Here is a 12338-nt window from a genome sequence, read left to right as displayed (position 1 = left end):
GGGCAGTCTGGCCAGATCCAGGGAATCAGGGTGGTGAGCTAGCCCACTGGGGTGTGGGGGTCAGTGTGGTGAGCTAGCCCACTGGAGTGTGGGTCATCAGGATGGTGAGCTAGCCCTCTGGTGTGGGGGGTGGACAGGGTGGTGAGCTAGCCCACTGGAGTCGGGGGTGGACAGGGTGGTGGGCTAGCCTACTGGGGTGGGGGGTGGAAAGGGTGGTTAGCTAGCCCTCTGGAGTCAGGGGTGGACAGGGTGGTGGGCTAGCCCACTGGGGTGGGTGGTGGACAGGGTGGTGAGCTAGCCCACTGGAGTCGGGGGTGGACAGGGTGGTGGGCTAGCCTACTGGGGTGTGGGGATGGGACCTGCAGCACATGCTGAGTCGAGGATTCCTAAGGGTTTCCTAGGCTGGGACACCCTGGGGCACACAATTACCCCAAACACAAGTGTTTCTCCAAATAACCAGTTCACACAGCCCCTGGGGGAATGAATCACTTCCTGTGATGTCATCCCTACACACCCATCTCCTGGAGGGCTCAGACTCCCAGCAGCTCAGGTGACTGGCAACACCTCCTCTTCTGGGGGCTTCCCCCCTCCCACCAGTAAGGCCAACTAGAAACCCCTTACTTGGCCTTAGCTAGAGTCAGACACTGGGTGAAGGGGTTGGGGAGGCCCCAAGTTCATCACTTGTCATCAAGTGTAACCCCTTCCTCCTGCTGCCAGCCCAGCTGCTGGAGTGAGCTTCAGGCTCCTCTTAAAAACCTTCCCAGGTTGACAATTCCATGCCCCTCTTTCCCTGCCCATCGCAGACCTGGCCAGCAGGAAGCTCTTCCTTATGCTGCAGAATCAACTTCTGTGTCCTAGTTTGGAGGCTCTCAGTAGCTATGACCATAGTCACCACCAACACCCAGGTGAAGGTTCCTGAAGGGCTCTTGGATGGAGGTGCCCTGTGTGCTCACTCAGGATCCCAGAGCAACCTCTGCCTCCCAGAGCCAACCAGAGCACAACAGCTATGAATAGCCCAGGCAACTTCCCGTTGCCCCTCCGCTGGGCCAGGGCCTGCATTTGAGGACGCTAAGGAGCTTTACAGACACCCTATGCTCCCAGCACTTGCAGTCTGAGCTGTCCTCGTCTCCTCCCATCCTCTCAGGTGTGAGGGAAAGGACAGATGCTGGAGAAAAGGGGACTCACAGAGCTACCAGAGCTGTGCGCACTGCCAGGGCACCCACGGCGCAAGGGGTCTTATACATGCATGGGCTCATTTATCTTCCCCTGAACCCATTATAACTGGTGTTATATTGTTTCTTCATTTTCAGATGTGGAAACTGAGGCTCGGAAGTGCAGCTCCAGCCACGCCTGGAGCCAGCCTGAGAATGGAGTGTGTTCAACTCCAGGGTCTGGGTACTTCACCTCCACAGTGAACTGCAGAGTGGACTCAGCTCATCTCATGGGGGCTCAGATGAGGAAATGAAACCCAGAGAGGACAAGTGACTTGGCCCACATCCAGCAGGAAGTCAGTGGCAGAGCTAAGACCAGGTCTCCCGGCTCCCCGTGAAATGTTTCTGGCCTTAGCAGCACAGTGTAGAGCCAGAGGTTCTGAAATCACCTTCTAGAAACAGCCATGCCCTCAGATGAGAGCAGAAGCCTGAAATAAGAAGAAGGGGGCCTGCAAGGGACCCTTTTCCTACTCTTGGTGTGAAAGTAGATTCCCAGATACAATGTGGGATGCCTAGTTAGATTTCAGCTTTAGTGGCCAGGTACGGTGGCTCACGCCTATAATCCCAGCACTTTGGGAGGCCGAGGTGGGTTGATCACTTGAGGTCAGGAGTTTGAGACCAGCCTGACCAACATGGCAAAACCTTGTCTCTACTAAAAATACAAAATTAGCCGAGTGTGATGGTGGGTTCCTGTTATCCCAGCTACTCTGGAGGCTGCGGCAGAGAATTGAACCCGGGAGGTGGAGGTTGCAGTGAGCAAAGATCTCGCCACTGCACTCCAGCCTGGGTGACAGAGCGAGACTCCATCTCAAAAAAAAAAAAAAAAAAAAAGAAAAAGAAAAAAAAGACTTCAGCTTCAGCTAAACAGCAGATTATTTTAGTAGAAATATCTCCCATGCAATATACTAAAAAAGCTTTTTGTTTTTTATCTGAAATTCAAACTTAACCAGGCATCCTGTATTTTTATTTGCTAAATCTGGCAAGCCTATGTTAACAGGGCAAGAGACAATGGGGTCTCTGCTGGCCACCTAGACCCGAGAGAACCAGCCCCCACAGCGGGGCTCCCAGCAGCAACTTAGAGTCAAGGTTTGGTTTCCATGGCTCCTGGTTTTCCTCCCCAGCCCTGCCACCGGGGTCACAGACCACTGCCCAACAGAGAAGCAGGAAGGGCTTCTCGAGCAGAGGATCACCAGAGGCCAGGTGGGCAGCTGGCCCTGGGCCCCACATACATTAACCAGACCAGCAGGTACAGGGGCTGAGTCCCAAGAGGGAGAAAGGAGCTCAGATCTCACCCAGTAACAGACCCCCAGCACCCAGCTCCTCTTTGAGGGAGACTCCCACCACGAGCCCCCTATCTGCAAGGGGTTCAGCCCCACCTGCTCCAGCAGGGATGGAATCCATAGACAGCCTCTCAGAGTTGGAAATGCCACCAGAGATCACCAAATCCAATTCCCTTAGTGGCCAGGTAGGGAAACTAAGGCTGAGTCCCCGAGTCCCCATCTGGACACAGCCAGCACAGGAAAGATTTGGGTCAACAGGAGAAGCAAATGCTACTGATGCCCCCTCAGATGTCATCATTGCCACCATCACCGCCATCATCGCCATCATCACTGTTCATCACCATAATCAGCGTCATCACCATCATCTCACAGCAAACATAAGTCCCAGCCGTCTTGCTCCAGGTTCTCTCTTCATATTAATTCATCGAGTATTTCCTAACCACTCCCTCCTGATTGGAATCAATCTAGTTATCTCTGGCTGACCTCCAAGGGTCAAGCTACCACACACGTCCCTTCACCTCAAAGAGATGGGGGCTTGGCAAGAAATTGAGGGAGGTGGGAACCAGTTCTCTTCCCCATCTTGAGCCATCTGATGTTCCACACAAGTTCTACCTAGGTGTCAGAATGCAGGGCCCAGACCCCAAAGCCTGACCCCAGGGCTCAGAGTTAGAAATCTAAGGCTGGACTCTTACCCAGGGGATTGAAGCCAATGTCCTGAGCCCAGTGCCCAGGAGCTGGGGCCCCAAGGAGGACCTGACTAGACCCTAGTTCCTTCCTTCCAGACTCCACAGCCAACTCCACCTTCTCTGCTATCTCCTGCCAGCATCCTTTCCAACGTGCCTGACTTGTCTACCAGGCACCCACCCCATTGACTTACACTCTAACCCAGCTCTCTGCAGCCAGGAGAGCGCCTCCCAGCTCTTACCTGTGAATGTCCACATGTGCCTCGACTCCCACCACACACACGGCATGGGTAGGCATCTTCAGGGACAGCTGCACAACTCTCTTTGGGGCCATCCTGTCACCTGGCTCCCAGCCTCCTAGATCAGCCCTGGCTCCCCAGCTCCCGTCCTGGGCACTTCTTTGCCAGGAAGAAGTGTGAGTTCTGATGGACTGGTGCCTCCTCCTCCCTTTAAATTTCACCCTGCGACCTGATTAGCCTGGCTGAGCCTGGTCCCCACCTCCTGGCTCCACACCCTCCTCACTCAGGGCTGTCAATCCAGGAGGTCAGGGGAGGAGGTGCCCAAGGCCTGTCTGGGAGATGGGGAAGGGGAGCTTCAACTGGGGGCCCCGGGCGAAGCAGGACTCACCTGCTGACAGGAGACCCTCCAGAGCTCCCCAGCAGCCTCTGCCCTCCCCTCCAAAGACTCCTGGTGCCTGAACCCCTATTACAATGATGTCAGTGTTTCTGTGGGCTGACTATGTGCGGGCTCTGCCTATAACCACCTGTGATCCTTATCAAACCTTTTAACCTCTCTGTGACTCAGCTGCCTCATGTGTAAGTTGGCAGCTGTAACAGTAGTACCTGTCCCATTGTGTTGATGTGGGAAAGACATGAGTTATGTGTAAGAAGATTAGCACAGCTCCTGGCACCTGTGTTCACTAAAACACTAACAATTATGACTTTTATCCTCATTTTGCAGGTAAGAGAACCATGGCTGCAGGTCTCACTGCTAGTAAGTGGTAGAGTTATAACTTCCACGCAGGTTCACCCGTCTCGCCACACAATACCACCCCCCAACAGGTGAGGGTAGGCCCTTGTGCCCAGACTCCACAGACAGCAGAAGCCACCCCAGGCAAGCATTCTTGGGGAGCCAGAGAGGAGGGAACTTGAAAAAGAGCTCAGAGCAATGACCTGGGAGCGTGGACTCATTTCTGAAAATCCCTCTTCTTTCAGCTCAGCACAGCAAGCTTCAGCCTGTTCTGAGGCTCTTTGTAGAACTTCATTTGTTAATTTGACAAGTGTTTGTTAATCATCTTTTATGTGTCAGGCACTCATTTAGGTGATAGGGATACAACTATGAACAAAAGAGACCATGATTCCTGCTCTGACGACATTTATATTCTGGGGGAGACAGACCGTAGGTGAAGTTAAATGAGTAAAGTGTGTATGACATCAGATGGTGCATTAAGGTTCTTCCCATTATCTAAGCGAGGGATGGCATGGCTTGGTCCCAGGGTAACAGGGAAGGTGGTGGGAAGTGGTTGGATCCTGAATGTATCTTGAAGGTAGAGCCGATGAGGTTTGCTGATGAGTTGGATGTGGGTGTGAGAGAGAGTGGTCAACGATCACTGGAGTATTTGGGACCCGAGCAACTAGAAGGATGGAGTTGTCATCAGAGAGATAGGGAAGGCTGCAGGAGGGCAAGCTGGGCAGGGAGCTTGGCCATTCTCTGTTGGACTTGTTCGACATGAGATGTCTGTTAGAGCTTGGGGTAGAGGTGGTGAATTGCAGGTGACGTGTTCCCTTCATATCGGGCATTGGGGGTGATGAGAAGAGCCGTTTGCTCTGGAATCGCAGGACACCCATCCTCAGTAATGTGGTCCTCTTCTTCCAGGGGGCTCTTATACAGAGTGGGAAAAGGGGCACATAAACCAGAACTCTAGTGTCCACAGGGCTGGGGTGGCAGGGCAGCAAAGAGCAAGAAAGAGAGAGAGAGAGAGAGAGAGAAACAGCCTTGCCTGAGGAGTTGTCAGTCTGATGGAAGATGTGGGGGACACACAGTCCCTGGCTGCAGGAACCCCAGCCTGATTAGGGAGGCAGGAAATAGTAAAATGGCATAAACATTTATTTGGTTACTTTTGATTTTGAAGATATTTTTGAAACCATCTTTCTTATTGCAAATGTTATTGATCTGCAAAGTTCATTACACCTGAAGTCACCAAGACAAAGTCTAATTTTACCCCATGGATACAGAACCCAGGGAAACAGGTGTTCAGGGATGGTTTTCCATCACCCAAACCCCAAACCTCAATTTACCAGGACCTCAGTCATTTTGTTTAACAGCATTTATTGACATAAACGTGTCCATTTCTTATGGAATGGAATGCAGAGTGGAACAAGCAGTTTCCTGCAGAGCACATGGGTGTGTTCCCATTAGAGAAGATTAAATGGATGGATGGATGGATGGATGGATGTGTGGGTGGATGGATGGATGGATGTGTGGGTGGATGGATGGATGGACAGACAGATGGATAGGTGAACGATAGGAAAAAGGGAGGCAGGAAGAAAGGCAGGCTGGTGCATAAAGAGCTGTCTAAAAAGATGATGATGATGATGATGGTGATGATGGTGATGATGACAACAATAATGGTGATGCAAACACATATATGGCCCTCACCATGTGCCACTGTTTTAAGACCTCTCCATGTATTCATTTACCTAATCCTCACAATAATACTGGGTGGCAGGTATCAATCAAGCCTGGAATGCCAAGTTCAAACAGACCACATGGATGTGTAGGATGTGCCCTTGGCCAGTTGTGGGCAGGGCCAGGGCCCAGGCAGGTCATGGTGTCTTAAAAGAATGTTCTTCGGGCTGGGCACAGTGGCTCATGCCTGTAATCCCAACACTTTGGTAGGCCGAGGCGGGCGGATCTCGAGTCAAGAGTTCAAGACCAGCCTGGCCAACACGGTGAAACCCCGTCTTTACTAAGAATACAAAAATTAGCGGGATGTGGTAGCAGGCACCTGTAATTCCAACTACTTGGGAGGCTGAGGCAGGAGAATTGCTTGAACCTGGGAGGTGGAGGTTACAGTGAGCCAAGCTTGCACCACTGCACTCCAGCCTGGGCAACAGAGCAAGACTCTGTCTTGAAAAAAAAAAAAAAAAAAGAATGTTCTTTGAGATAGAGGAAAGAGGAAAGAGAAAGGGGGGCAAGGAGGGAAGAGCAGAGGGAGGCAGAGAGGAAGAGAGGAGGATAAGCACATCTCTATTTTACAGCAAAAGAAACTGAGGCACAGAGAAGTTGGGGACCCTCCCAAGTCCATGGTTGGAAGTTGGTCCCATCAGGATTCAACCCCAGGCCATCTGACCCTGGTGGGCTGATTGCTGACTAGATCCCTGGGAGGCAGAATATCAGGTCATTTCTTCCCCATGCTTTTGTGTGTTGTTTGAATCACTTTCATGAGCAAACAACATTTTTACTGTTGGAAAAAAAAAAATGAAGCCACCCTCATTATTCTCTCTTCGAGGAAAAATAAGATGCATTTCCTCCTTTTGGCTTCTCTCCCCACCCTCTGCTATTCCTTCCCCGCCTCCCTTTTTCAGTCTTCCAGCTCAAAGAACATTCTTTTAAGACACCATGACCTGCCTGGGCCCCTGCCCTACCTACAACCCACAAACAACACATCCTGCACACCCATGCTGTGGTCTCTTTGAACTTGGGATTTCAGCCTTGATCGGTCAGACTGGGGAGGAGCGAGGGTGGGAGACCTCTGTGACATCACTGCCTCCTTCCCCTCTGAAGGAGGACATAAAGCTGGGAGGCCGGCCCCACTTAGCCTGAAACGGGGCCCCATGCAGGGTAGAGGCCTGCCAGCTGCCCGGTGACTAGGGGACTGTAAGACGACCCCAGGAAGCCCCTGGAACAACCCAAGAAACCACTATAGGGAAGGTGGCTGGTGCTGGGGCTACAATGGCCAGGGCTTCATTTTCCCTGTTCTTCAACAATTTTTTTTGAGCACCTAAAATGTGCCAGACATTATTCTGGCCCTGGGGATACCACAGTGAACAAGATAGACCAAGCCCCTGCCCTCGTGGGACATCGTGGAGAGCAGGCAGGTAGAAAGCTGGTGGGATAAAAACTGTGATACCAGGAAGTGATTCAGACAAATAAAATAGAAGAGAGGAGGGGATGGTGTGCTGTTTTGAGTCAAGTGATCAGAGAAGGCCAATCTGAAGAAATGATATTGGAGTAGAGAGCTGGAAATGAGACCTTAGTGATAATGACATAAACATTTATTTGGTTACTTTTGATTTTGAAGATCTTTTTGAAATAATCTTTCCTATTGCAAATGTTATTGATCTGCAGAGTACATCACACCTAAAGGCACCAAGGCAAGTTCTAAGTTTACTCCATGGATACAGAGCCCAGGAAAACAGGTGTCTATGGTCTAAGATTCCATGAACCTAGTGTGGCAAGCTGGGTTTCCATTAACAGCCGGAGCAGCCACTCTCTCTCTCACACAGAGAGAGAGAGCCCTTTCCTCTCATTCTGATGAATGCATAAGTTAAACATTAGAGAACTGAAGAAAATGGTGCCCGAGTATGAGGGCTGGAATGTGAAAACAAACCTGTTAAGACCGCTCCTGGGTTTTCTCAGACCCGAAAGTCTGATGAAATAATGAAAGTATTCTTACACATACACCTCATACCAGGGCCCACTTAGGATTAAGAAACTTTCTGCTGGGCACAGGGGCTCATGCCTGTAATCCCAGCACTTTGGAAGGCTGAGGTGCGTGGATCACTTGAAGCTAGGAGTTCCAGACCAGCCTGGGCAACGTGGCGAAACCCCATCTCTACTAAAAAAAAATTAACTAGCCAGATGTGGTGGTGTGCACCTGTAGTCCCAGCTACTCAGGAGGCTGAGGCATGAGAATTGCTGGAACCCAGGGGCAGAGGTAGCAGTCAGCTGAGATTGTGTCACTGCACTCTAGCCTGGGCAACAGAGTGAGGCTCTGTCTCAAAAAAAAAGATTAAGAAACTTTCCAAGGCTCTAGAAAAAGCTTCCCAGACCCTAGACCCTAAAGATTAGATAAAGATGGAATGAAACAGACCTACTCTCTGGCAACGTATACTCCCACACGTAGGCATACAGCTTAGAATGTAGACAACACTGGGGGAAAAACTTGTACTTTCGAGTTGGTCTGGTGAGTTACTCCGATCTTCTCCCTGTAACCGGTTACAGAAATAAACTCCCTTCTTTCTCAGTCTGTCTGCATCTCCTTATTGGACCACGAGAGCAAGCAGCCTGACCTCGTTCATCCGGAAACACTAGGATCACCCCCGACAACCCCCCAGTCTCCCTATTTACAAAATGGGTTGTTAAGCTGGATCAGAGTTTCCAAACTCAGGCACCTTCAGGAGGGCAGGCAGATAATAGATATGTGTGACGCTACCAGCTGGGAGAAAATAGGGAGGGGTGGTAACTGCTGCAGAGGGGACAGAGCCTGCTGGGCTCATGCGTTAAGTCAGTGTTTCTCAGAAACAGAATACTGAGGTCAAACAAAACCCATCGGTAGACCAGACCTAGCTCTTGGGCCATGAGTTTGAGCCCCCAGCATTGGTTATTTTGTGTTGGTGGGTAAGGAGAGGGGTGGAGGGAATAACTCTGGCTGGGGAAGTCATTTGATGCCCTTGAGGGTAAGCAATGTGGGCCCCAGTGAGGCTTGCCACCATCAAGGCATGGAAATTGCCTGCCTCAGGCCTTGGGACCAATCAGGGTAGGTTCTGGGTCTACTTGTGTTGCCGACACCAGCTGTGGGCTCTTCTGGTCCGGGGGACCTCTCCCTAACACACATACACACACACACGCTGCCTGCTGTGCCTGAGCTCACCTAGAACCCCATGGAGGAAGGTAGGGAGGATCAGCAGAGCCCAGTTCTTGTAACCCCCTGTCTGAGACCGTTCTCCCCTCCCAGCACCCCCGGGTACTACAGGGACAGTTCCACTTGCTCTCCAGGATCACCCAACTTCAAGCTGGAAGGGCCCCCGAAACTATCAATCCAGCCCCTTCACTTTCCAGCTGGGTAAACCACAGCACCGAGAGAAGCAGTGACTCACCCAAGGTGACACAGTAAAGTCACAAGAAGCCAGATTTGGATCCAAAGTCTTCATTCATTCAACAAACATCTATTAGGCACTTTTTATATATAGGTGCCGTTCCAGAGGTCAGAGTCCTTGACATCTGCTGAGTCTGCTCAGCTCCCTATGTTGACCCAACCCCTTCCTGTGCTCCTGGCACCCAGGGCAGGATCCTGGACCTCCTGGTGAATGGGGGAGAAGCCTTGGGGGTTCTGACTTGGCCATTGTGAGAAAATAGGGTACCCACTGATTCCCACAGGGCCAGAGGGCAGGCCAGAGGCTCTAATGGCGGGAAGTGGTGAGGACCATGAGTCACCCAACTCAATCCACGCTATCCCCTCAGCATCCAAACTCCAGACCAGGCTCTGCTGGGCTGTGCAGACCTGCAGGAATTACCAACTCCCTCCTCGGGTCTGGGGACATCCAAGGCTCCATGTGGCAGCATCAGCAGTGTTAATGATACCGTTCATGGGGCAGGGCGGGACATGGCACAGCCCCAGCTGAGCAGGCATGTGTCCTCTGCCCTCGGGGGGCTGTGACCAGGCGAGTCATCCCCACAGGTGGCCAACTCAGCAGCCTCCAAGCACATCAGCCCCTTCCCTGCCCCAGCTGGCTTTTCCCATCTCAGCAAATGGTGCCACCTCCACCCTAGCTGCCCAAGCCAGCCCAGGCAACCTCTCCCTCCCTCTCCCGCACCCCTCCTGAGTATCACCTCTACTTTCCAAACATCTCTTGATCCTTCCCTTCCTCTTTGCCCCCACCCTCACCTCCACCATCACCATCACCCTCCTGGTTCCAGCCACCATCTCTGAGCTGAGACCTCAGCAGCTCCTGGTCTCCCTGACCCCAGGCTTACTGCGTTCCTTGCCACAAGCAGTCATGTTCCCCCTGACATGTGTATCCAATTGCATCATTCCCCTGCTGAAAAGCCTTCCCTGGATCCCCCCAAGATAAAGGAGGACTAAGGGGCCCTACCATCTAGGGTTCCAGTCTGAGCGCAGCTGCTTCTCCAATTTCAGGGCTCTGGACAAGTGATTTAACTTCTCTGAGGCTCAGTCTCCTAATTGGTAAAATCTGGATTGATAGATTTATTTATTTATTTATTTATTATTTTGAGATGGAGTCTCACTTTGTAGTCCAGGCTGGAGCTCGGTGGCACAATCTCAGCTCATTGCAACCTCTGCCACTCAGGTTCAAGCAATCCTCCTGCCTCAGCCTTCCATGTAGCTAGGATTACAGGCATGCACCACCACACCCAGGCAATTTTTGTATTTTTAGTAGAGACGGGGTTTCACCGTGTTAGCCAGGCTGGTCTCGAACTCCTGACCTCAGGTTATCCATCTGCCTTGGCCTCCCAAAATGCTGAGATTACAGGCGTGAGCCACTGCACCCGGCTTAAAATCTGGAATAATTTAGAAGTAAGAAATAATATATGTAAAAGGTGCCTGGCATATAGTTGATGCTCAAGACACGCTTTGCGTGGAATTCAAGGCCCCTGAGACCAGGCCCCTGAGGGACCTCTCTTCATTCAGTGCCCGACGTCTGTCCCGATCAGAATTCCTCTGGGCATTCCTGCTGCCCTGACTGGGGGATTGCTCCCTGACCTGGGAGTCTCTGTGAATCTCTGCCCATCACCAACCTTCCTGCCCTCCCCTTCCCTCCCCTAACTCCACCTTTTCCCCTCCAGCACCCACTCCACAGGAAGGCTCAGCACTTCTACTTCTTTTATGGATTTACATCCCACATCCTAATAAAAAAAATTAAGACTGCCCATAAAGTATACCCTGAATAAGGTGTTTTATTTTTTTTTTTCAAGTGAGGAAATTAAGTCAAAAAATGAAGGAAGAAAGAAAAAGACAGGTATGGACATCCTCTTTGGTTGGTAGATTTCGCTGTGAGTTCCCTGGCGGCCCAAGAGAAAAAGAAAATATAACTGGTTTTAGGAATCATGGTGCTCACAAAGTAAAACTCAACCAGTTGAGGGAAAAAAGCCCTGCTCTTCTAGGCCCTGAGAACTGAGGGAAATCCATCCCCTTCCCACCCTGGGTGGGGTTTAATGGATGGGGAAAGTGTGGAATATTCAACCATGTGGTTCACAGCATCCTTGTATTTGGGTCTGGCTTGATCCATGGGTTTATTTTGGGATGGGATGTCTACAGAAATATGTGTTTTGGGTCCTTCAGACTCTTCTCCATGAGAATTCTTTGTTTTAACCAAACCTTTGTTTGGATAGTGCCAGGGAATGTGGGGTTTCCCTCCCTGACATTGGCTCTTCCTTGCAGCTGCCAGAACAACGACCCAAAGTCCTCTAATGTCAGCCAACCCGGGGCTAGAGTTGAGGTCCCACTGTGAGAATCAGCCCAGGTCCAGCACCTCCTACTGATTCACTCAGAGCTGGGGGACACTCATACCTGGAAAGGGGATGGGGGACAGCACCTCTGTGGGGCATCCCCCCAATGCAGGGCTCACATCTCGGCAGCCCCTTCTATGAAGGCCCCTTGGACCGGCTGCCTCCTTGAACACGTGGAGACAGAGGCACAGAGTGACTTGCCATAAACCACACAGCTAGGGAGAGGCAAACCGAGGTAAAAGACAGAAAACCGATCCCAGAGTTAGAAACTTGGATTCTTGGGCCCCCCTCATGGTTTCTTGAAAAACTTCCTTTCCTTTCACAGAAGCAGCTCTGCCCAATGGACACTCTCCATCTAGATCTGGCCCACCCGCTGTGGTTCTCACGATCCAGGTTGCTGGTGAGACACTGTCTCGCAAGAACTTCATGGGACAGAAGGGCTCAGCACCTTTCCCAAAATCACTCGTTGATGCAGCAGACATTTCTTGGGCCCCTAGCATGGGCCAGGCAATGAATAGATGAAGAGGAGCTGGTCGCAGCCTGCCTTATAGGTGAGCATGGTTGATGGGGAGCGTGGAAGTGTGAACATGTTGTTACCAGGCAATTGGTTATTCCATCATGATAAAGGGATGTGTTGAGGGCGTGGAGGGAAGGGATACTAATAATGGGAGCCAGCATTTATTGAGCACTTA

The 12338-nt window shown here is 51.3% G+C and overlaps 1 protein-coding gene across 7 annotated transcripts in view; it reads right to left on the bottom strand.

Moving 5' to 3' along the window:
• Nucleotides 1-3598, bottom strand: part of PADI1 (peptidyl arginine deiminase 1) — a 40880-nt gene extending 37282 nt beyond the window's left edge. For all 7 annotated transcript variants that reach the window (XR_946619.3, XR_007059265.1, NM_013358.3 and 4 more), the window contains exon 1: nt 3417-3598. Coding sequence is in view for 5 of the 7 variants with exons in the window: in NM_013358.3 (NP_037490.2) it covers nt 3417-3508 (92 nt within the window). In the remaining 2 variants the exon portion in view is untranslated. The remainder of the gene's footprint in view (nt 1-3416) is intronic.
• Between the last annotated feature and the right edge of the window lie 8740 nt (nt 3599-12338).

The sequence above is a fragment of the Homo sapiens genome, chromosome 1, assembly GCF_000001405.40.
Source record: "Homo sapiens chromosome 1, GRCh38.p14 Primary Assembly".
NCBI lineage: Eukaryota > Metazoa > Chordata > Mammalia > Primates > Hominidae > Homo > Homo sapiens.
The sequence above is the reverse complement of the archived record's forward strand: the minus strand, read 5'-3'. Positions and strand labels throughout refer to the sequence as shown.